Here is a 25,735-nt window from a genome sequence, read left to right on the forward strand (position 1 = left end):
GGTTCTCTGGAGGCGCCTGTGTTGCCTCTCTGTCTTAGGTATGGGTTGCACCGAGCCCGAAAGGCCTATCACCGCCCCAGCCCAGCCAAAAGTGCTGTGCTTTTCGTGCAACTGAAGCTCTAAGCCGGCTGGTCAGAGAAAATCCTCAGGTCTTTCTCACAAGGCACTGCCGCGGTGAAGCCAGGCGTCGTCCACATTTTGCTTGTGAAGTTGACTCTTGGAACCCAAGAGTTGGGTTTTATCGTCGTCCTCATTCAGTATCACCTTGCTAACTCTCTAACCTGCACAGAGTCCTTCTGATTCTGTCATCAGAGCGGTACTTTCCTGGCCTTGTCTCATCCACACCGGTGGCTACAGCCGTCTGTGTCTTTGCCCCAGGAGCTGATAGGTGTACAGAACTCTGGGGCTTGCTTGGAGAGACCTCCCTCCAAATTGACCTTGAGATATGAATTAATGCCTTTTGGATAGGGTGATGGTTATCAAGGATACTGGAAGGGGCAGCTCCGAAACCCACATCTATTTCCTGCCCTTAGCTTTAGTGGCTTTTGGGTTCTGTGGGGCGGACATCTGACCCCAGCTAGGCCCATCCTGCTTTCCCCCAGGCTTTGGAATCAGAACACAGAAGCTGAAGGAATCCAGCTTCCAGGTGTAGGTTGTGTGAGTTTCTCAGGGCTGTGGTAACAGCCACAGACTCAGTGGCTTAACACACAGAAATGTATTCTTGCACATTTCTGGAGGCTAACTCCAAAATCCATGGGCCAGCAGGGCAATGCCCCCTCCAGTGGCTCTGGGGAGAAGCCTTCCTTGCCTCTTCCAGCCACTGGTGGTTCCTGGCAATCTCTGGCGTTCTTTGGTCAAGGATTCTTTGTAGCAGCATCACTCCAGCCTCTACTTTCCCTCCGCATATCCCTCTTCAGGTGACCTTTTTTTCTCTGTGACTGTGATCTGTGTCCTTTCCTCTTCTTTCTGTTTTTGTTTTTTGAGCCAGAGTCTCGCTCTGTCGCCCAGGCTGGAGTGCAGTGGCGCGATCTCGGCTCACTGCAAGCTCTGCCTCCCGGGTTCACGCCATTCTCCTGCCTCAGCCTCCCGAGTGGCTGGGACTACAGGCGCCCGCCATAATGCCCAGCTAATTTTTTTGTATTTTTTTTTTTTTTTTAGTAGAGACGTGGTTTCACCGTGTTAGCCAGGATGGTCTCGATCTCCTGATCTCGTGATCCGTCCGCCTCGGCCTCCCAAAGTGCTAGGATTACAGGCGTGAGCCACCGCGCCCTGCCTTTCTGGTTGTGTTTTTAAATTTGAGACAGGGCTGGGCGCGATGGCTCATGCCTGTAATCCCAGCACTTTGGGAGGCCGAGGTGGGGGGATCACCTGAGGTCAGGAGTTTGAGACCAGCCTGGCCAATATGGTGAAACCCCATCTCTACTAAAAATAAAAAAATTAGCCGGGCGTGGTGGCGGGCGCCTGTAATCCCAGCTACCTGGGAGGCTGAGGCAAGAGAATCACTTGAACCCTGGAGGTGGAGGTTGCAATGAGCCGAGATCATGCCATTGCACTCCAGCCTGGGTGACAAGAGCGAAACTCCATCTCCATAAATAAATAAATAAATAGAGACAAGGTCTAGCTCCATCACCCAGGCTGGAATGCAGCGTCGACCTCCTGAGCTCAAGTGATCCTCCTGCCCCCACCTCCTCTGTAGCTGGGACCACAGTTGTGCACCACCATGCACAGCTCATTTTTAAAATTTCTGTAGAGATGGGCTCTCACTTTGTTGCCCAAGCTGGTCACAAACTCCTGAGCTCAAGTGATGCTCTCACCTCAGTCTCCCAAATTGCTAGGATTCTAGGCGTGAGCCACTGCACCCAGCCCAGCCTCCTCTTCTTATAAGGACACCAGTCATTGGATGTACAGCCCAACATAACCTCATCTCAAATGATTACGTCTACAAAGACCCTATTTCCAAATAAGGTCACATTCTGAGGTTCCAAATGTTCATGAATTTTGGGAGGGGCACAATTCAATCCACTACAGGGGCACTTGGCTGGTAATGATAGGAGAGACCACGAGAGCTCTGGGGGAATCATGGGAAAGGGAGAAAGAGTGTGGTCAGGGGAGAGAGGGGCAGAGTCAGGGGCTATGTGGTGAGTAACCATCTGGGGACAAGCTGTGACTTCCCTATCTGCTTCCAGTAGTCCACCATTGGAGCTAGCTTGAATGGGTTTCTGATCCCAGCAACCAAATGTGCTCTACAGAGAGAAACTTCTCTAGTCATGAACTGTAGAAATGATCCCTGAAAGTATAGTCTTACAGCAACCACATGGTCCCTAAGACAGCCTTTCACTCTCCCTATAAAAGCACCGAATGTGCTATTATATGCTCCAACCTCTAAGAGAGATGTTATGAACCATTTTGCTGAGGGCAAGATACACCATATCCCCAACAAGCTCTTGATCTTGTAACCACTGACTTTGCGCTTTTTAGGAAGTGAGAAACATCTGAGCCAGCTCCTCATCCTAGGCTGGGTGCTGACTGCCTGGCAGCATTGCCCAGCCTGGCTCTGGGAGGAACTCCCCCACCCCAGAGGCTGTGATCTTTTTCCAAGTGGTCCCACCCCTTCCTCTCACTCCCTTCCCCAGCCCCAGATGTGGGGCCCAAAACTCACAAGGAAGAGGCTGGACCCTGTTTGAGCTTGGAAATATCCACGTCATAGGGGCTAAAAGGATAGCTGGACCCCACTTCCCCCTTTCCCAGGTGGCTGACATCAAACACCATGCTCCCTCTTTCACTGCAACAGTTTTGGGATCCAGGATCTGGGCCCCATTCTAGTGGGGGTGGAGGACCTCAGTACAGGGAGATGCTCAGGGTCTTGGCTGGATCAGGCCAGAGCGGGGGTCCCCCCATAGACGATGAGGCCACTTTGCATCTGCCAGACAGGAAACCTAGGGAGGCCAGAAGCAGAGGAGGAAAGGAGGCAGTCATGTTCCTCTGACTCAGACTGGAGTTTCTACACCTGGATGGAAACGGGCCATACACGGGAGTGGGAGTGCAGTTTCAGTTCACAGGGACATGCACAACCACACCCAACCCATCCCCCATACCACTATCATGCATGTGCATGAGTTTTTCCTTTCGTACAGATGGGGTCTCACTATGCTGCCTAGGCTAGTCTCAGACTCCTGGCCTCAAGTGATCCTCCTGCTTTGGCCTCCCAAAGTATTGGGACTGCAGGGGTGAGCCCTATGCATCCTGCCTTTCTTTTCTGTTCTTTTCTTTTTTTTCTTTTCTTTTTTTTTTTTTACGGAGTCTCACTCTGTTGCCCAGGCTGGAGTGCAGTGGCGTGATCTCGGCTCACTGCAACCTCTGCCTCCCAGGTTCAAGCAATTCTCCTGACTCAGCCTCCCAAGCAGCTGGGATTACAGGCACATGCCACCACGCCTGGCTAATTTTTTGTATTTCTTTTTTTTTTTTTTAGTAGAGACAGGGTTTCGCCATGTTAGCCAGGCTGGTCTCAAATGATCCGCCCACCTTGGCCTCCTAAAGTGCTGGGATTACAGGCATGAGCCACCACATCTGGCCTTTCCTTTTCTTATTGAGGGCCCAGCACATAAGAGTATTAAAAACCACACAAAGTTGTATGGGATGCAGTTCCCCTAAAAGAGACAGAAATAGAAAGCACTGAAGCTGCTGGCTTTCTGGTACAAGCTCTTCCTGCTGCAGATGGACCCCTCCTGCACAGGGACCACAGCCCTTGAAGGCACCAGCCCTAAGGTGCAGCCCTTTGTCCCTGACCATCTCCCTTACCCTCTTTTTTTTTCTTTTTTGAGAGTGCACAGCTAGGCCTCCCTGCCCACAGAGCCACATTTGGAAGTTCTGTGCAGCAAGGCTCTTTGCCCAGGCTCACTTTTTTCTCCACATCATCACCATCAGCATTTTGATTATATCTGCACCATCATAAAAGGTTATACCAAATGCACATGAGTTTCTGAGGCAGGGGTTTGCACTGACCCCATCCAGCTAGGCAGAAGCAGGGCTCGTCCAGGATCCTAGGGGGGATAGATGTGCAGCCTGGAGGCAAGGTCCTGGAAGAGTCCAGAAATCGTGGAAACTGGGCTCTGTAAAGCCTGGACGGACTTCCATTGAGTGAGAGTAGCTTAGGAACAGCTTAGAAATTGTGACTGCTGATGGACTGTCAACATGGACATATGCAAACCAGATGCAACATTACGCAAATTATATACAAAATACATGCACAGGTCTCCCAACTATTGCAAATGCCAGATATGGTCCTTGAGGACCCTAAGTTTAGCTGAGACCTGTTGTGGGGCAGAGAGATCACCCTGGACTTGCCAGTTTCTTTTTTTTTTTTTGAGACTGAGTCTCACTCTGTTGCCCAGGCTGGAGTGCAGTGGCGTGATCTTGGCTCACTGCAACCTCCGACTCCCAGGTTCAAGTCATTCTCGTGCCTCAGCCTCTGGAGTAGCTGGCACTACAAGCGTGAGCCACCACGCCCAGCTAATTTTTGTATTTTCAGTAGAGATGGGGTTTCACCATGTTGGCCAGGCCGGTCTTGAACTCTTGACCTCAAGTGATCCACCTGCCTTGGCCTCCCAAAGTGCTGGGATTACAGGCATGAGCCACTGCACCTAGCTAGGACTTGCCAGTTTTCTTATGGTGGGCAGGAAGGGCTTTGCTCCAAGGTGGTTCACACACTGTGGGGAAGAAATCAGGCAAGGAGTCAATTAGACTCAGGTTTGAATCCCAGCTCTTCCACTCACAAGTTGCATGACCTCCCTTGAGTCACTTCACCCCTCTGAGCCTCTGCTTTCCTATACGAAAATGATTATTATGAGGAATAGATGAGAACTTTGGCCAAGGCTCCCATGTGCACAGTCGTGCACATAACAGACGCCCAGTGAGTGTGGCAGGGCTCTGCACAGAGTCCTTTCTTGGGGGTTGGATATCTGGGCCTCCTTTCTAGTCACTGCAGTAGCAGCTGTGCCCCCTCAGGCTGTGGGCAGGACCTTCTTGCAAAGCAGCACATGCAGCTCTGGGTTTGGAAAATGTCAGTGCTTGGATGGACCAGGAATCCATGTACCTCTCACTCGTCAAGAAATCTGGCAGAGGTCACACTCAACAGGGGTGCTGTGGGTACCCCAGCCAGACTCCCTTTCCCTGGTCAGTGTACCCATGAATCCCCTGGCTGCAGGTGTGATTACTGGGAATGCTCCCAGCTGCCCCTTCTGTGAATTGCCCTTGGCTGAGGAGTGACTGGCTGATAGGGTGAAATGGTTTGGCTGTGTCCCCACCCAAATCTCATCTTGAATTGTAACTCTCACAATTCCCATGTGTCGTGGGAGGAACCTGGTGGGAGGTGATTGGATTATGGGGGCAGGTCTTTCCTGCACTGTTCTCATGATAGTGATTCAGTCTCACAAGATCTGATGGTTTTAAAAAGGGGAGTTTCCCTGCACAAGCGCTCTTTTCTTGTCTGCCGCCATGTGAGATGTGCCTTTCACCTTCCACCATGATTGTGAGGCCTCCCCAGCCACGTAGCTGTAAGTCCAATAAACCTCTTTCTTTTGTAAACTGCCCAGTCTAGAATATGTCTTTATCAGCAGTGTGAAAATGGACTAATATACAGGGGGACAAAAAAGGCAGCCTCCTCGCCTCATGGTGGACAGCCCAGTGTTAGTTTATGTTGCAGAGCCCCCTTGGTCAGGCCCCTCTAGACTCTACCTGGGATCCATTCTTGCTCTATTTCCATCCTCTCCTGTTTTCCTACCTCCCTTATGTATCTCTCCCAGGAGCCCCCTTGATAAATGACTTATAACTAGATCCCTGTCTCAGGATCTGCTTTTGTGGAACCCAACCCAAGAGAGGGGGACAGACCTGCATGCAGAGGGGGACATGAACTTGTATAGTCAGGAACCATAGGGTAGCGTGGGCTCACAGAGGAAGAAGTGCCTGGGTGCCTGAGCTTGGGGGAAGGGATCAGAGGGTGTTTCACAAAACAGGCAACACTAGAGTTCACCGCACGGGGAGAAAGCACCGTGGGTGGTGGGTGCGGCATGTGCATGGCCTGGAGGCAGGAGAGAGCCTGGTATGTATGGGGAACCCCGCAGAGCTCTGGGTAGCCCAGGCTCCAAGAGAGGTTGGCAGGGGCCAGACAAGAGGGGCCTTGAATACCCCAGTGAAAAGTCTGGACTTTACAGCTGGAAACGATGCATGCAGAACTGTCGGGAAAAACATCCTGTGGCTGCAGCTGTGTGGAGCAGACACACGAGGTGGGGTGCCGGTGGGGTGGCCCTGGCAGCTGTCAGCCACCAGGCTAACAGGGACCGAGGGATGAGGAACAGGGCTAGATTCTAGAGGCTTTCAGGACAAAGGACTAAAAGGCCTTGGTGGCTAATCTGGGGCTCTGGGTGTGGGAAGGAGTCTAGAAGGTACCACAAAGAGAGGAGACAAAACATCAGGGCTGAGGCAGGGTTGAATGAGCTGTACAGGGCAGGGGTCTGCATTCCCTGTGCCCACCACAGCTAGAGCCAGGCTGAGCCTCCAGTTGGAAGGTCCGGACACTGACCAGAGTATGTGGCACAGCTGGCCTGACCCCAGTAAGGACCTGGGGCTGCCCCTTGCTGGAGGGGCTGGCCTCCAGGCCTGATTAGGACAGGGATGGGGAGAGGCTGGGGGCGGGGGAGTAGAGTGCAGAGCTGCTCAGGCATTGATGCGGGGGTGTGGTTGCAAGGCCCTGGGAAGGGCTCACCATCAGCTCTCCTCTAACTCTTCTATTCATGGACACCAGAGTAAAAACTACACAAGATTACCCACTGGTGATGGGGGAGGCAGGCTTGCAATGCAGGGTGTGTGCAGAGAGGCCAAAACAAGCAGGGGAGGGGGCTACCCTCCATGGGGGGAAGGAAGGGGAGGGTGTTGCCATGGAAGACTCATGCTTGGACAGGCAGAACCTGACCTTCACCCAGACACTGTCCTTATCTCAGACCTGCTCTGCCTTAATTCCTTAATTTGCTGGGACATTTGCTGGGCACCCGGTGCTGGAAGCACAGACAGGTCGGCTCCAGGCTCTGTGCTCAAGGCATCCAGAGGGGCAGAGGTGGATGAGAGTTAGAGAAGCCCCAGGAGGGGCCAGAAAGGGGCCTGGGGAGGTGAGAGGGGAAAGAGCATCCATGGTGGGAGACACATGCTCCAATCAGAGGGAGGGGACTTAGGAGGGGACATGGCAGGAGGGGAGAGGGCTGCGTGCAGGCTGAGGACTTGAGGAGGCTGGGGGTTGCTGCATTTTGATGCTTGGCCTTCAGCCCCTTGAATCCACTCCAGACCACTTCCTAGTGCCACTGCCATTGTCTATTTCTGAGTCGAGCTCCAATCCAGACTGGCAGTCCTGGATGCGGGGGGCCATCTCTTGCCCAAGTTTGCCAGATGAATGGACCGTGGGTGTTAGATGGGTCATTCTGTAGCCATGAGGAGATGGCACTAGGCAGGCTGGCACTGGCATCCAGGCAAGAGATGCTGGAGATGAGAGAGGGTGGGCATTTTGGAGAGAGAGTCACCAGCCTTCAATGAGCTGGCTGGAGAAGGCTCAGGGCTAAGGTCAGGGTCATGGGCCCCACCCTGGTGGGGCCCCAGGATTCTGTCTTATGCTTAGGGCTAGATGATATATCTGGCGTCTATTCAAAAGGGGTCCCTGCCAGGGCCTGACCTTCTGACACCCCTTTCCCCTCCAGAGCAGCCCAGCCTTCTCCTTTTGCCCGGGTCCCACCCACCTGCCCTTGCCATGTGACCTTTGAGGCCTTCCCCAGGTTGAGTCTTTGCAGCCAGGGCTCCCACATTCCTGGCTATGCTGGTGTTGGCCAGCAGCCCTAGTTCCTTTGGGAAAGAGCGGACAGGAGGCTCCCATGGCGGGGACTGTATCCTTTCCTTCCCTCCCTTGCCCCAGGGGCTGCACTGGGATTAGGGTATCTTCCTCCCTGGCCATATCACCACAGTCCCACCTCCAGTCACAGTCTCCCCTCCCCTCCCTCTCCCTCCCTCTCTCCATCCTCCTCCTGTTTCTCTGGCCTCATGAAGAGCCCCATCATCCCCCAGCTGCCCACCATGGAGTGGGTGGTTGGTAGTGCCAGTTAGGTGGCAGTGCAGGTGCCTGAGCCAGGGTGAAGGCTGGAACCATGTTGGTGAGGATGGAAGGGACCAGCTGAAAGTATCCAGGCGATGAGGCCTTTTGACTTTTGAGGGGCTCCAGGATGACTACAGGTTTCTGGCATGGGGGGTCTCTTTTGCTGAGACAAGGACAGAGGGGTACACCAGTCTGGAGGGAAGCCACACTGAATTGGAGGTGCCTTCAGGTACCCCGGGGGAGAAGGCTGTCTGGAGGGCAGCAGGATATGCACACTGTTAAGGTGTCCCATTTGTTGGCTGCCCCTTTGAAGCTGGGGGCAGGGCAGGGGGCCAGAGCATACTGTAGTGCAAGGTCAGAGGCCCACCCTACCCCACTGCTGTCCAGGGCTCCTGTTAGAGCCACAGGGAAGTCGCTGACTGGCTGTCCTTGTGACCCCTCCTCCCAGATAGCTGATGAAGGCACTTGGTCAGAAGGCACGGCTGGCTGAGGCCACAGCCCCTCTGCTGCCCCGAGGCCATCCTTCCCTGTTCCACGGGCCTGGCACTTCCCAGGCGGCTGCCGCACCACTGACCACCCTTCCAGCTTTGGGTCCCTCGTGGGTTTTTCGTCCTTTCCCCCATCCCTAGCCTCTCTTCTCACCATCTCCTTCCCAGGGACCCTCCCTTTCTCCTCCCGCAAACCTCATTCTTCTCCTTTTCCCATAATCAGGAAGAGCTTTGATTGCCCATTATACCTGGAGCCCAAATTGTCAGCAGGAGAGAAACGGGTTTCCCCCACCTTGAGGGCCTGACCTTAGACACTCAAGTGTGCCAGCCAGGGCAGCATTCCTGGGAAGAGAGGGGAGACGTCTAGGTTCCAACCAGACGAGAGTCACCCTCCCCAGAAGAATGGGCCAAATGACTCCTAATACAAGGGAAAATAGAGACAACCCCCCAAAAAAAGTTTTACAACAAAACCAGCTGAATGTTCAAAACCTGCCCCATCTCATTTCTTTGAAATTGGAGAGAATTTAACTCATCAGCAAAAATAAAGGCAATGGGAATGAAGAGATCTCCAAAGGAGTTTGTAGGCCGGGCACAGTGGCTCACGCCTGTAATCCCAGCACTATGGGAGGCCGAGGCAGTTGAATCATTTGAGGTCAGGAGTTTGAGACCAGCCTGGCCAACATGGTGAAAGCCTATCTCTACTAAAAATACAAAAATTAGCCAGGGATGGTGGTGCACACCTGTAATCCCAGCTACTCAGGAGGCTGAGGCAGGAGAATCGCTTGAACCTGGGAGGCGGAGGTTGCGGTGAGCTGAGATCTTTGCATTGCACCCTAGCCTGGGCAACAGAGTGAGACTCTGTCTCAAAAAACAAACAAACAAGCAAAGGAGTTTGTGTGGTGTAAGAAGAAAACTGGGGACATTTAAGGCGAAAACTAAGGAAAATGATTCAGTGAAGGAGATCAGAAAGATGTGGTCAGAGGAGCTGGAGGAGGGGGGTGGAAGAGGAGGGGAGAGAGAGAGGGAGAAAGATGGCGGGATGGCGGGGGGAGACAGAGACACAGAGAGAGAGAGAGAGACACCAGCCAAGATAAGAGAGCAAGAGAGGGAGGAGTTTCCAAGAGACTCAGAGAAGCTATAGGTGAAGAGTTGGAGTTCACAACCCAGAGGGAAGGTGGTGGTGCCCTCTTCTTGGACCAAGTTGGGTGGAAGCAGGGTGGAGGTGAGGGAGTCATGGAGTGGAGGCAGTGACTGTGGGGAGGGGGCAGGAAGAAGTCGAAGGCAGCTGAAGGAGAATGAGTGAGTCCAGGGAAGGGTAGGGTGCTGAGCTGGAAGAGCTGAGATGTTTCTAGGCAAAGGGGAGGGAGCCAGAGAGAGGAAAGCAAGGCCCCTAGCAGGCAGGACCCAGGCTGGAGGGAAGAGGGGCAGGAGGAGGAGGAGGCGGCAGACAGGCTGGGAGGCAGAGTACCTGCAGGTGTGGCGGGGGCTGACGGGGTGGCAGGAAGCAGAAATGACCTCTGCTTATTGGTCTGAACGGGAAGTGAGGTTTTCTCCTGAGATCTGGAGAGAGGATGGAGGAATATTTAGATGAGGCTGAGGAGAAGTGAAGGTTTGAGGACAGGCTAGACCATAGCCTCTGCGGTGGCTGCAAGGCTCTGGTGACTGCCCCTTGGCCACAGCCCCCCAGCAGTTTGAGGGTGGGGCCAAAACGTTGCCTACAGGGGCCTGTCCAGGGCTGTAAGTGTGGATCTAGGGAGGGAGAGGGAACCTGGTGGGAGTAAGGATTGCTGCTCCCCAACCAGTTTCCTAGGGAAAACCAAATTTAGAATCAACAGAAACATGACTGGGCTTGGTGGCTCATGCCTGTAATCCCAGCACTTTGGGAGGCTGAGGCAAGTGGATCACTTGAGGCCAGGAGTTCAAGACCAGCCTGGCCAACATGGCAAAACCTCGTCTCTACCAATAAAATACAAAAAATTAGCCAGGCGTGGTGGCACGTGTCTGTAATCCCAGCTACTCAGGAGTTAGAGGCATGATAATTGCTTGAACCTGGGAGGCAGAGGTTGCGGTGAGCCGAGATCGCACCACTGCACTCCAGCCTGGGTGACAGAGCAAGAGACAGTCTTGAAAAAACAAACAAACAAAAAAAATCAACAGAAACCTGGCAGGGGCTTCGGAATTGTAAAATGTGACTATTTGCTTTGTGGCAATGTAAAAAAAAATCACATTTTCACTGGAAAGAAGAACAAAGGAAGAAAACTGAATGTCTGGGAACAAATTGATGCTGACATTTCTCTACCTTGCTGGTGTCCACCTGCCCACGTGCCTGGCTTGTTTATCGCTGTGCTTACAAATATTTCCTACTCTTTACTTCTTGACATCTTGACCAAGGTAACTGTGATGAGGTAAGACACAGTCTGTTGTCATTTTCCAGCAAGAACTCACCCAAGGAGTTAAGTGATGGCCCAGAGTTTTCCAGAATCACTATCACCTGGCACTACAATAGAGGCAGAGAGCGAATGATACTGTCCAAGACAGGTGTCTCTTACCGTGTGAAGATAAATGCTGGTTGATATCGCCCATTAGGCCGGGTGTGGTGGCTCACGCCTGTAATCCTAGCACTTTGGGAGGCCGAGGCAGGTGGATCACCTGAGATCAGGAGTTTGAGACCTGCCTTGCCAACATGGTGAAACCCCGCCTCTACTAAAAATACAAAAATTAGTTGGGCGTGGTGGTGCACACCTGTAGTCCCAGCTACTCAGGAGGCTGAGGCAGGAGAATTGCTTAACCCGGGAGGCGGAGGTTGCAGTGAGCCGAGATTGCACCACTGCACTTCAGCCCAGGAGACAGAGCAAGACTCCATCTCAAAAAAAAATTATAGGAAAAGAAACCTTTTGATCAATGAAGATGAGTGGTGATCTTTGCAAAAGTGTACAGATTCTAAATGGAATGCTGGGGAAAATAAAAACTGATACATTACAGGGTTTTATATCTGTCAATGTATCCCCAGCTTTTAAAAAAGGAGTCATTGGACCCTAGTGTTAGGTCCACAGGGATTCAATATGTTATGGCTCCCCTTTTGTGTGGTGTGTGTTCAGAAGTTTCCATAATTGACCAGCCTGTAATCCCAGCACTTTGGGAGACTGAGGCAGACCGCTCACTTGAGGTCAGGAGTTCAAGACCAGCCTGGCCAACATGGTGAAAACCTCTCTCTATATATACATATACATACATATATATATGTAAAATATATATTATATATTATATATATAATGGTTCCGTAATAAAGTCTTAAATTTTTTCTTAAAGATGGAACAATTGACAATAGACACCTGTCATTCTTCTTTTTCCCTTCTTATTTTGGAAGCTCTGCTAGATGCTGCTGTCCGCAAGTACTGACCTTGCCTTTTCTGATTTTCATTAAAAAGAAACTCATAGCAACAAGGTACCAGTTAATTCCTCTCACCAGAGAGCTCTTCTCCCTGTTTCTCCTCCCTCAGGCAATAGGAGATATGTAAAATGCCTTTTCAGGCTCCCTTTCCCCTCCTCAATGCCTAACTTTGCCATCATTCAGCACTTTCCCTTTAGGGAAATTCTTATTGCATCTCTCTTCTGTTTAAAAAAATATACTTATTTAGCCCTTACATTACAAATTCCATCCTATCATTATTTATTCGGAGGTAATTGTACATGATTTGGTCAGCTCACGGCTCACCACAGGTTCCTCTTTTCTTCATCTCCTTGTCTCCAATCTGATTCATCTATTTCCTGATTAGATTCCTTTCTATGGTATTTCCCCCATATGGGAAAATTATGTGGACCTTTGCATTTCTTCTATCCTAGGAAGGTGAATGGCAACCTGGTTGGTTTAGGAGGCTTTTCTCTGAGTGGTCTGTGGAGGTGATTCATATTGGTTTCTAGCTTGCAAATAAGATGTACGATTTCAGTCTGATTCTCTTCTTTCTATGCAACTTATTTTCTCATTAGGGAAGCTTGTCTGAATTTTCTCTTTAATCGTGGAATTCAGGAACCTTACCAGGCTATGCCTAGATGTGTGTCTTTTTTCCATCATTCCTGCCTGGAACTCAATGAGCCTTTTAATCTGCAAACCCAAGACGTTCTTCAAACCACGGAAAATTTTCTTTCTCATTTAAAAATGATTGCTTCTCTTCTATTTCTTCTTTTTTCTGAGATTTTTATTCTTATTTTCATCATTCACCTATTACAACTCCTGGATCTCTCTCCTCTGAGGCGCTTTTAGATTTTTACTTTGGGTTTTGCATTATCTCTTCCACATGGTTTCCTCTCCTCCAAGTCATTTTAAATTGAAAACGATGTTTCTTCGTTCAGGAAAGTATTTGATTTCACCTTTGACTATTTTATTTTATTTTTGAGATGGAGTTTCGCTCTTCCACCCAGGTTGGAGTGCAGTGGCGTGATCTCGGCTCACTGCAACCTCTGCCTTCCGGTTTCAAGCGATTCTCCTGCCTCAGCCTCCTGAGTAGCTGGGATTACAGGCGCCCGCCACCAGGCCCGGCTACTTTTTTTATTTTTAGTAGAGACGGGGTTTCACTATGTTGGCCAGGTTGGTCTCGAACTCCTTGTGATCCGCCCGCCTTGGCTGCCCAATGCCTTTGATTTTTTAAAATGTGAGCTTATGGTTTTGTTTGCTTTTCCTGTTATGCAAGTTGTGGTTGGTCTCCTCTTGCAGTGCTGAGTGAATTGCAGGCTCTTCCTTCCTGGCCGCTGGATTCCCTTAGGTGCCAACTGTCTTTCTGCCTTCTTGCAGCCCTAATCATCTCCAAGGCTCAGATCCAGCTGACAAATTGGCTGCACCTCTCTGTATCCCAGGAGAGAGCGCTCTGCTCATTCTGCTGCTCTGCATCCCCGTCTCCCAGCCTCGGGGCAGGGAGGGATTCTGCAGGGCCTCCCAGGACCACCCAAAGCTGCTGGCTCTGCTCTCCTCTGTGCATCCCTGCGCCAAGTTCTCTCTTTGGAGCCTTGGAGATCCCATTCTCACCCAGGGCTCTCTCTGCTGCGGGTCCCTACTGTCTGCCCCAGAGGGAGACTAAGTCCTAAGCCAGAGCTATCAAGACAAAGGCCCTGTCCAACCGACCAGGCCTGGCTGCTGGCTGACCCAGGAGCTCTGCTGTGGGAGCCCATTGGATATTGGAAAGGAGGGCAGCAGGGCGGTCAGGCTGCCTTCACCCTGGAGGTTTAATTAAAGAGAAGTTCTTGGGTTTCATGATATTGAAGAGATGACTGGGATCAATCAAAAGTTTACTTATACTTGCAAAAGTATATCAGAAAAAAATAAAAAGCAAAATGGAATGGATTTGAATAAAATCAGTTTTTTTTAAAATTTACTAGGTCTATGATGATGTATCTAGCATGCATAGAAAATTGAGTGACATTGAAGGAGTTCTGAGGAATTCCGCACATTTTTTTGTTGTGGTAATTATAGCATTTTGTGAGGAAAAGAATAAACCTTGGCTGGGTGCGGTGGCTCACGCCTGTAATCCCAGCACTTTGGGAGGCCGAGGCGGGCGGATCATCTGAGGTCAGGAGTTCAAGACCAGCCTCAACATGGAGAAACCCCGTCTCTACTAAAAATACAAAATTAGCCGGGTGTGATGGTGCATGCCTGTAATTCCAGCTACTTGGGAGGCTGAGGCAGGAGAATTGCTTGAACCTGGGAGGTGGAGGTTGCGGTGAGCCGAGATCGCGCCATTGCATTCCAGTCTGGGCAACAAGAGTGAAACTCCGTCTCAAAAAACAAACAAACAAACAAACAAACAAAAAACAAAAACCTTAAATGCTCTCAGTTCTCTCCTTGGCACAACACCATGTACCCACCAAAAGAGTTTTCCAAACCTTTGGACGTGGGTGAAGATGAAGTGTGCAGGGAACAGGGTGATTTCTTTTTTTTTTTTTCCTTTGAGACGGAGTCTTGCTCTGTCACCCAGGCTGGAGTGCAGTGGAGCGATCTCGGCTCACTGCAACCTCCGCCTCCCAGGTTCACGCCATTCTTCCGCCTCAGCCTCCCCAGTAGCTGGGACTACAAGCGCCCGCCACCATGCCCAGCTAATTTTTTATATTTTTAGTAGAGACGGGCTTTCACCGTGTTAGCCAGAATGGTCTCGATCTCCTGACCTCGTGATCCACCCGCCTCAGCCGCCCACAGTGCTGGGATTAGAGGCGTGAGCCACCGCGCCCGGCCAATTTCTTGAAAACACATTGGACTGGGCGTCACGGTCCATCTTCAGCTGCCGATGAAGAACTTTCAGATACCATTAGACCACAGGAAGTTGTAACAAATGACTCTTCAGCTCTTGCAGGTGAGCGAAGTATACAATTGCTATCACTGATTCCAAATTTGATTTTATCTTTTGTTTTACTTTCTTTTAACCACATGATAAGTGTCCCAGGATTTTTTTCTAAAGAGCTTCAAAGTGAAACTGTAGACATTTTCTTTGCCTTTAAAAGCCAAAAAAGATCACCATCTGAGAGAAATTATGAGCCTTTCAAGGCCACCTGGGACAGAGTGGAGAAATGATGCCAAAAACCAATTCCTAAGGACTTCAAAGTTGAAAAATGTTTCCTTCAGAAGAAAAGAACTGCTGAGATAAAACAAATGATGGCAATTCCAATTATGCATTTTTCCTACTTTCTCATAAGAAAAGTATTAAATTAATGTCTCTTATGAAGGATGGGTTCCTAGATTACATTTAAAGTTACAGTTTCATAGAAATAATCATATTGAAGTGAAGCAAATTTCTGAGCAGTCCCATTCAGTTGAAATAAAATAATACACAGAAATAGTCAAACACGTGCAAAATGTGTGCAGCCTGGAAGCACTCTGAATCCCACAATTCAGAGTGTGTTTTATGAAACTCCAAAAGGATCACTTCTGCTACGATTGTATCAACTTAATTGATCTTGGCAGCCTGATGATTTGACACTGTCTTCACTACCCTGCTCCTTAGTCTCAGCGATTACAATAGCAGTGCAGAAAGCTCATTTTCTACTCTTAGTGACTTAGAAACCCGCTTCTGCTGCTCTGTCCAGTGACAGGCTCTGGCCCCAACAGCTGCAGAGTGAGACAAATCACATCGAATGTTTCCTGAGTCTTTCCTTTTCCACCCTGATACGGTTTCTTCACCCAAATCTCATCTTGAATTGTAGCTCCCGGGAGGGATGGGATTGGGAGGGACTGGGTAGGAGACAACTGAAACATGGGGGTGGGTTCCCCCATACTGTTCTTGTGGTAGTGAATAAGTCTCACGAGACCTGATAGTTTTTTGTTTTTTTGAGACAGAGTACACTCTATTGCCCAGGCTGGAGTGCAATGGCGCAATCTTGGCTCACTACAATCTCTGCCTCCCAGGTTCAAGCGATTCTTGGGCCTCAGCTTCCCGAGTAGCTGGAACCATAGGCACGCACCACCATGCCTGGCTAATTTTTGTGTTTTTAATAGAGATGGGGTGTCACCATGTTGGCCAGGCTAGTCTTGAACTCCTGGCCTCGTGATCTGCCCGCCTCGGCCTCCCAAAGTGCTGAGATTACAGGCATGAGCCACTGCGCCCAGCCAAGATCTGATGGTTTTACAAGGGGAAACCCCTTTCTCTTGGTTCTCATTCTCTCTCTTGCTTGCCACCATATAAGACATGCCTTTTGCCTTCTGCCATGATTATGAGGCCTCCCCAGCCACGTGGAACTGTGAGTCCATTAAATCTCTTTTTCTTATTACCTAGTCTCAGGTATCCCTTTGCCAGCAGTGTGAAAAGGGACTAATACACACCCTGAATTCATTAGTTCATTCAGTCTTCAAGCAACCCTGCAGGAAGAAATCACTAGTCCCATTTGCTGTAGGAGGAAAGTGGGGGTCAGAGATGTTAAGTGACCTGCCCAAGGTTGCAAAGCAAGTAAGAGTCAAACCTAGCCTGATTCCCAAGCCGGTGTAATCACTGTGTTCAGTTTGCAGCCAAAGGGATGAAGATCTGAGGCTCCTGTGATATCATGGATCATCTATATTTGCTGAGATAAAAATGATGTGCTACTAATTTAATCTCATCTGTAAGAACTTTTCTTTCCCAGAGTTATGATGTCTTTTATCAGGATGGTTAGACATCCACGTATGGTTCCGAAGCTCCTGCTGAATAGGGCGGGCCATGGAATGTCTGGTTTGTTGCTGGGATGGCATAAAGGGCATACACTGAAGTGAAATGCTGACAAACCATTCCTCTGTTCTTAAAAAAATAAAAAATGTGCCTGGCTAAACAAACTGTGGAATATTAATATAATGGAATACTACTCAGCGATAAAAAGGAACAAGGTACTGATTCTTGTAGCAACATGGATGAATCCCAACAGTCTTACACTGGGCAAAATAAAAAGCCTGACACAAAAGGGCACAGAGCAAATGACTTTATATGAAATTCTAGAAAAGACAAACTTAGTGTATTATTGTGCTAGGGCTACCATGACAAAGTACCAAAGACGGGGTGGCTTAAACAGCAGAAATTTGTTTCCTCACAGTTCTGGAGGCCAGAAGCCTCTATCAAGGTGTTGGCAGGGGTGGTTTCTTCGTAGGCCCCTCTCCTTGGCTTGTAAATGGTAGTTTTCTCCCAGTGTTTCCACGTGGTTGTCCCTCTGTGTGTATCTGTGTCCTAATTTCCTCTTCTTATAAAGACACCAGGCATATTGGATTAGGTTCCACCCTAAGGATCTCATTTTAAGGTAATCACCTCTTTAAAGACCCAACCTCCAAATACAGTCACATTTTGCAGTACTAGGGATTAGGACTTTAACATATGGATTTTGGAAGAACACAATTAGCCCACAACACCTAGACTATGGTGAAAATAAGCAGAATAGTGGTTGCCTCTGGGAGGAGTGTGGGTTAGGGATATACTAGGAAGTGGTTTGGGAGACTTTCTGGGGTTGATGGAAAATTGGATTTGGTGATAGGGTTTGGGTTATAAAAGTTATCTACATTTGTTGCCCGGGCGCGATGGCTCATGCCTGTAATCCCAGCCCTCTGGGAGGCCGAGGTGGGTGGATCACGAGGTCAAGAGACTGAGACCATCCTGGCCAACATGGTGAAACCCTGTCTCTACTAAAAATACAAAAATTAGCTGGGCATGGTGGCACACACCTGTAGTCCCAGCTACTCGGCAGGCTGAGGCAGGAGAATTGCTTGAACCCAGGAAACAGAGGTTGCAGTGACCTGAGATTGCACCACTGCACTCCAGCCTGGCGACAGAGCAAGACTCCGTCTCATAAAAAAAAAAAAGAAGTATCTACATTTGTCAAACTCACTGGAATAAAACATGTAGTCCACATGGTACATGGAATAGTACAATTTATGCATTTAATTGTCTGTTAATTTTGCCTCAAAGAAAACCAGAAACAAATATTGAACTCTAGTTAATAATATGCATGCCTACTGTTAAGGGATAAAGTGTACTGCTGTCTGCAAATAGCTTTTGAATTGATGGCTGGGTCTACAGATGGATAGATATTTGAAAATGCACATATAGCAATCTACCAACAATTGCAGAATTTAGATGGTGGATTCCCTGTACAATTATTATTATTATTATTATTATTATTATCATTATTATTATTATTATTATTGAGATGGAGTCTTGCTCTGTCGCCCAGGCTGGAGTGCAGTGGCGTGATCTAGGCTCACTACAGCCTCTGCCTCCCAGGTTCAAGGGATTCTTCTGCCTCAGGCTCCTGAGTAGCTAGAATTACAGGTTCCCACCACCATGCCCGGCTAATTTTTGAATTTTTTTAGTAGAGACGGGGTTTTGCCATGCTGGCCAGGCTGGTCTCAAACTCCTGGCCTCAAGTGATCCACCTGCCTCGGCCTCCCAAAGTGTTGGGATTACAGGCTTGAGCCACTGCGCCCAGCCCTTTCTTTTCTTTTCTTTCTTTTTCTTTTTCTTTTCTCTTTTTTTTTTTTTAAGACAGGGTCTTGCTGTGTTGCCCAGACTGGGGGGTAGTGTTGTGATCTCAGCTCACTGCAACCTCCATCTCCTGGGCTCAAGCGATCCTCCCACCTCAGCCTCAAGAATAACTGGGACTATAGGCGTGTGCCACCACACCCAGCTCATTTTTGTATTGTTTTATAAGAGTTGGGTCTCACCATGTTGCAGAGGCTGGTCTTGAACTCCTGGACTCAAGCGATCGGCCTGCCTCAGCCTCCCAAAGTGCTGGGATTACAGGCATGAGCCACTGTGCCTGGCCTCATTGTATAATTCTTTCAACTTTTCTGTATGTTTGAAATTTTTCATCATAAAGTGTTGGGGGGGGGGATAAAATTTCCATTTGAAAATATTAGCTAGACATTTCTCATAAAATCTTTCTTCATTGCTAGATCAAGGTTGCCACGAGACTATGCCAAGTCAATTGTCCTTGTGTCCCCCACCAATATGCCCAGGAAGAAAGAGTAGGGAGACAATTCCGAAAGAGGCCTTGAGGGTGCTAGGGAGTTCTAGGGACTAGCTAAGGCGTTTGGGCTCTGTGTTTGAGGAAACTGAGGCTCAGGCTGTTTTGCGTTGCTGTTTAGAATCCAGGGAAGTCCAGGATGTTTTTTCTTAAGCCATGTTGGGGTGCTTAGGCTCAGTGGAGAAGCGGGGCATGGCCATATGAATGATATGCAGTTGGCAGCACATAGTAGGCACACAAGTGTTTGCTGAATGAATATTTACATGAAATTGGAAAGGAGCCTTCCAAAGATGGAGCCAGCAGGAGACAGTGAAGTTGCCTGTGCGGGCCGGGGGAGTCTGTCTCTGTCTCTGCCCCAGCCCACCTCTGGCCTGGCCTGAGTACCTTGAGAAGTGGGCCCAGGAGAGGCCCCTGGATCCCTGGGTTCCTGGACAGCCAGGGTGAGGGCGCTTTGCCACATTCTTAGGAGAGAGCACATCCAAAACAATTTCTTTTTCTAAAAACTCAGTGCTAACGGATTCCAGATGTCCGTTTGTTATATAATGGGGTTTGTTTTAATAGCGTCAACTTCCAGATGTGCAGCCTGGAATCAAGAAGCCCATTGGCCCCCTGAGGACACTGTGAGCCAAGCTGAGAGCTGCCCGGGGGAGAGACATGGACGTGCAGAACCAGGGATGGGAGAGGAGCCAGGGTGCCTTCTTGCTGCCCACTGGGCTGCTCACCTGCCCTGCAGCTGTCCCCAGACTGAAAGACAGGAAGGGTGTTCCCGCTTCCTTTTTTTTCAGTCCTGACTCTGAGCAGGGGCTCCCAGGGGACAATCATAGACAGGCAGCTTGGGGAGGGTCTGCTTTGGAATCTGGTTCAAGCAGGCCTAGCTGGATGAGCCTGGAGAAGTCCTTGGCCTCCCTGTCTTTGAATGGAAAATAGAATAACGCCATTCTACCCAGAGAGGTCATTGTGCAAAATGAAATGAAGTAAGCAGCACAGCACGGGGCTCAGAAAGCCTTGACTTTCCCTGAGTGGAGAGAACAGGGGCCCAAGTCACCGAGCATCCTCCCCTACTCCTCTCAGCAACACGGATGCCCCTGGGCAGCACGGGCTGCATTTTCCCTGGAACACTGGAAAAGAGCCAAGGTGGGGAGCTCACCACCTCCCCCAGTGGCTTGTTCCATGGCCCTGCAGCTCCAACGGATAGAACATTCTTCCGTTCACTGAGCCAAAGGCGGCCTCTGTGTGACCCCCAACTGGTCTGAGTTCTGCTCTCTGGAGCTCTGCTGAGCAGGCCACACCCTCTTTCACCTGATACCCTCGAGTATGGGAAGACAGAGACCGAGTCTCCCAACCCTTTTCCTAGTAGGCAGCTGCAGTTATGACATCAGATGGACGAAGATTAAGATGCTCTAAGGAGAGATGTTCAAAATCCCAAACAAGAAAAGTCTCAACGTCTGGGGGAATGATTCTGTGGTTCTCCCTGTGTAGATGTTAATAAAATCTGTATGCCTTCACTCCAATTCAAAGAGAAAAGGGCCAGGCTCACGCCTGTAATCCCCACAATGGGAGGCCGAGGAGGATCACTTGAGCCCAGGAGTTTGAGATCAGCCTGAGCAACATAGAGAGACCTGTCTCTACTAAAAATAAAAAAATTAACCAGGGGTGGTGGCATGTGTCTGTGGTCCCAGCTAATTGGGAGGCTGAGGTGGCAGGATCACTTCAGCTCGGGAGGTCGAGGCTGCAGTAAGCCATGATTGTGCCACTGCACTCCACCCTGGATGAAAGAGCAAGACCTTGTCTCAAAAGGAAAAAAAGAAAAGTCACAAAATCTGAATGCAGTCACAGGGGTGAGGTGTCCACAAAGAGATAAAGTCATCATCTTCTCCAAATGAATCTATACACACAATGCCCTTCCAACAAATTTCCAATCAAATTGGTGGGGGTAGGGAGAGGGTGCAATATAAAGTTGAACGTTAAGTGTAGAATACTCACCATGTCTCCGCAGATGAAAAACATTAAAGCGGGACTTACCCTCTCAGCTGTTAAAACACAGGTAACACTAAAATACATTGAACATTATGGTACTTGTGCCGGCGCAGCAGAGAGGGAAATGGCACAGAAAATGGAAACACGAGCAGTAGACCCATCTCCATATGAGAATGTGGAATGTGGCAAAGAAATGCATGTCACACTAAAGCAAATAGGAAATTTCAACAGTGGTTACCTTTGGGGAGAGGGACTTGGCGTGGGACAGTAGTGAGTGAGAGGGAAGTGTTCACTTTTCATTTTGTATCTTTTAGAGTTGTTTTATTTTCCAACCTTATATATTTTTGTTTGTTTGTTTGTTTTTGTTTTTGAGACAGAGTCTTGCTTTGTTGCCCAGGCTGGAGTGCAGTGGTGCAATCTTGGCTCACTGCAACCTCTGCCTCCTGGGTTCAAGCGATTCTCCTGCCTCAGCCTCCTTAGTAGCTGGGACTACAGGCGCACACCACCATGCCTGGCTAATTTTTTGTATTTTTAGTAGAGACGGGGTTTCACCGTGTTAGCCAGGTTGGTCTCGATCTCATGACCTTGTGATCCGCCTGCCTCGGCCTCCCAAAGTGCTGGGATTACAGGTGTGAGCCACGTGCCCTGCCATATGTATTCTTTTTTTTAAAAAAAGCCAACATATATATATACCTATATATACACACACGTATACATATATACACACATATACATATATATGCATATATATATATATATATATTTTTTTTTTTTTTTTTTTTTTTTTTGAGACAGGGTCTCACTCTGTTGCCCAGGCTGGAGTGCAGTGGCGTGATCTCAGTTCACTGCAACCTCCTTCACCTGAGAAGCCAACATGTTTTTATGCCAAAATATGTTCCAGAGGTTTTGATCCCTTTTGGGTTTTCTCTTTTGAATATTTCTGCACTTAAGAGAAACCTAGTAAGTGTTATAACACGAATAATAATAGGATCTATAACAAATGATGAACAGTTATTGCCTCTACCTCAGGGAGGTAAAAGGGGAGGGCTTTTACTTCCTTAGCCATACATTTCCACACTTCTCATCCCCCTCCTGCTCGTTCCTCTTCTTTTTTCTGGATAGCATGTATAACTTTAAAAATCGAGGAGAGGGGGGAATTGAAAATTTGAAAAAAAAAAAAAAAACAGGGCAGAAATGATGGATTACTTAAGATGTGGGACTGGACAACTGGCTAACAATTTGGAAAAAAGTTAGATTTCTACCTTAAATCTAAATATACTGCAGATGGCTTAAAGATTTAAATGCTAGAAGGTAAACCATAAAAGAATCCGAATACTTACACAATTTTAGGATAGGGGACAACTTCCTAAGAAGACATCATATGAACAGACTGATAGATTTCATGACATAATAATGGGAGGCTTCTTTCTAACAAAACATAATAAAATAAGGTCAAACTGTGAAAAAAAAGACAAACAATATTTAACAGAGGATCAAGCATTTTAATATAGAAAAAGCTCTTACAAGAATTCCTGCCTCATAATTGTTTTCCCTAAGCCAAGAATGGGGGGGAATTTGACCACAGTGAAATCAGGGTTTCTAAGGGCAGGAGGAAGGTAGGAGGGGAGGGGCTGAACGGAGTTTTCAGGATGGGGGTGGACAGCTCAGGGGGACAGCTCCAGGGCCAGGGTTGGGTGACCTCCATGTGGCAGGGGTTCCCCACTCTCCCTGGCATTCACAGTCTTATCTGGTGCCAGTCACTTCCCCAGCCAGCCTGACCTCCCTGCCTGGGACATTTAACATTTTGCCATCTTCCTCACACATCAGGCATTTCCCTGTTTCCATGACTTTTGCAAATGCTGGTCCTTCTGCTTGGCTCACTCTCTTTCATCTCTACCTGAAAAAAAATCCAACTGCTCCTTCAAGGCTCAGCTCAAATATCCCCTGTTCTGCAAAACTGTCTTTAATCCATCTGCCCCCACTGCCCCCAAGGAACTCCCCTTGGGCTCCTATGGCAACTGCCCATCAGTCTATTCAGCACTTACTATACAGCATTGTCATTTTCTGCTCACTGGCTCACTCTAGACAGGGAGCTCCAGGGACCCCTTTCCCCTTCTCCAGGTCCGGCAAAGAGCAAGTGCTCAATTAATATTTCATGAACAAATGCATCGTACTGTGAGTGACAGAGCAGGGCAACTGAACTGACACTAGTTGAGCTTCAGGTTCAGTCCATTTCTTTTATATTTTTTGAGACAGGGTCTTGCTCAGTCACTCAGACTGGAGTGCAGTGGCATGATCATGGCTCACTACAGCCTTGAACTCCCGGGCTCAAGCAATCTTATCACCTCAGCCCCCTAAGTAGCTGAGACTACAGGTATGTGCCATTGTGCCCGGCTAATTTTTTATTTTTTGTAGAGATGGGGCCTTGCTATGTTATTAAGGCTGGTCTCAAGCTCCTGGCCTCAAGAGGTCCTCCTGCCTGAGCCTCCCAAAGTGCTGGGATTATAGGCATGAGCCATTGTGCATGACTGATTTATTTCCTAAAACAGCATGCTTTTATTTAAAATAAGGGCAAGTTATTTAACTATGATGCAATTAAGAGAAATAATTATGTATAATTCAATTATGATGCAATAATTTATCATAACTGCATCATAGTTAAAAGATGCCAAGTTACTGTAAGATCAGAAGACCTACGCTAAGGCACAGTGGTACGTGAATGCACTTGAACTATTGAAAGCCGCTGTCAGACTCCACAATGGCTTTCATTTTTATTTATTTATTTATTTATTTATTTATTTTATTTATTTTTTATTTTTATTTTTGAGACAGAGTCTCGCTCTGTCGCTCAGGCTGGATGGAGTGCAGTGGCGCGATCTCGACTCACTGCAAGCTCCGCCTCCCGGGTTCACGCCATTCTCCTACCTCAGCCTCCCGAGTAGCTGGGACTACAGGCGCCCGCCACCACGCCCGGCTAATTTTTTGTATTTTTAGTAGAAACGGGGTTTTACCGTGTTAGCCAGGATGGCCTCAATCTCCTGACCTCGTGATCCGCCCGCCTCAGCCTCCCAAAGTGCTGGGATTACAGGCGTGAGCCACCGCGCCCGGCCCATTTTTAAAACATTTATAAACAAAAGAGGTTTAATTGACTCATAGTTCTGCATGACTGAGCAGGCCTTAGAATCATGGTGGAAGGCAAGGAGAAGCAAGGCACATCTTACATGAGGGCAGGAGGTGGCGGGGCAGAGAGAGAGAGCGCGCCTCAATGGCTTTCAATAGTTCAAGTGCATTCACACCAGGCGCATTCCTGCGCTTGAGATTCCTAGCATCAGCCAGGAGCGGCTTAGTGGGAGAAAGAGCTGCGACGGTGATGATAGTGACATTCCAAAGTTTTGTGGCAACATGAAGGAGGAGGTGTGTCTGCGCTTGCACAGTGACTGCAGCCCTTGGGCAGATGTGGAGAATGTGTGAGGCTAAAGGCTCCCACGCAGCATGGGGCATGGGGAGCCTGAATGTAAGCCCCAGGGCAGGAAGTTTTGCCTATTTGCTCACCGTGTAATCTCCAGCATCTAGAATAGCATAGTAGGCCTTTGGTAAATATCTGTTGAATGGAAGGACTAAAATTAGTTCTGGAAGTGTCTGGGGATGGGGCTTAAGTTACCTCTGCAGGGTCTCCAAGGCTAAATCCTTTTCCTGAGTTAGAAAAACAGGGCTGTTCTCACTGAAGTTTTGGCCTTCAGAGTGTGATGAGGAGTGCAAAGGGGCACGGGGCAGCTTCAAGGACAGGGCTGGGACCACAGAGGGTGAGAAAAGGGCACAAGGGAGGAGGGGTGCTCCCAAGATGGCAGCCCCTAGAGATCTGGGCTGGGTCTTGCTTTCCTCCCTGGGGCCAGTGCAGCAGGAGAGGGTGCTGGGTAGGGGTGCTGGGGGCTGAGAGGACCAACCCAGCTTCACCAGGCCCAGAAGAGAAGATGCACACAGGGAGAAGGCAGCTGTATGCAGTGGGCTCAATAAAGAGGATTTGGGCTGGGCGTGGTGAGTCATGCCTATAATCTCAGTGCTTTGGGAGGCCAAGTGGGGAGGATGGCTTGAGGCCAGGAATTCCAGACCAACCTGGGCAACACAGCAAGACCCCATCTCTATGATACATTTAAAAAAAAATTAGCCAGGTGAGTGGTGCACACCTGTAGTTCTAGTTACTTGGGAGGCTCAGGTGAGGGGATCAGTTGAGCCCAGGAGTTCAAGGTTGGTTACGGCAAGCACTCCAGCCTGGGTGATGGAATGAGAAATGAAACCCTGTCTCTAAATAAATAAATAAATAAAAAGATTTGCCTCTGTATAACAGGAGTTTGAATTTAGGGCTCAAAAAGTCAAGTACATTCTCAAAATCACTCAGAGAGTGACAAAATCAGGATTCAATTTCACATCTTTCTAATTCCAGAGCCTGACTTTTTTTCACTCCGCTAAAAAAAGTGACGTCACAGGCACATGGCAGGCATGGAGCCCCAGGCGAGCCAGGTCTCAGTCTGGGTCAGTGTAGCCCCAGGGCTGGGATCAGAACCACAGTCGTTCTGGAGACAGGGCCAAACTAGGGTTAGAGGTCAGGGAGGCCAGGCCTGAGAACAACAGGCTTTCCGGGCTTTGTGCCCCCAGCCAGACACAGTGTCCTGGGATTGGTGGCAGG

The 25,735-nt window shown here is 48.9% G+C and overlaps 2 pseudogenes, besides 1 other annotated feature; one reads left to right on the forward strand and one right to left on the reverse strand.

Annotated features, from left to right (window-relative positions):
* Nucleotides 1-2,201: 2,201 nt before the first annotated feature.
* On the reverse strand, nucleotides 2,202-2,303 carry LOC124904985 (uncharacterized; annotated as a pseudogene).
* On the forward strand, nucleotides 14,948-15,672 carry LOC100419859 (zinc finger MYM-type containing 1 pseudogene; annotated as a pseudogene).
* Nucleotides 24,262-24,927: an enhancer, noted in NCBI's record as "NANOG-H3K27ac-H3K4me1 hESC enhancer chr20:40020313-40020978 (GRCh37/hg19 assembly coordinates)". NCBI's record gives its function as "activates a minimal SCP1, AML or CMV promoter by ChIP-STARR-seq in naive H9 embryonic stem cells {active_cell/tissue: H9 hESC(naive)}" and the evidence as "EXISTENCE:reporter gene assay evidence [ECO:0000049][PMID:30033119]".

This window comes from Homo sapiens, chromosome 20 (assembly GCF_000001405.40).
Source record: "Homo sapiens chromosome 20, GRCh38.p14 Primary Assembly".
Classification (NCBI taxonomy): domain Eukaryota; kingdom Metazoa; phylum Chordata; class Mammalia; order Primates; family Hominidae; genus Homo; species Homo sapiens.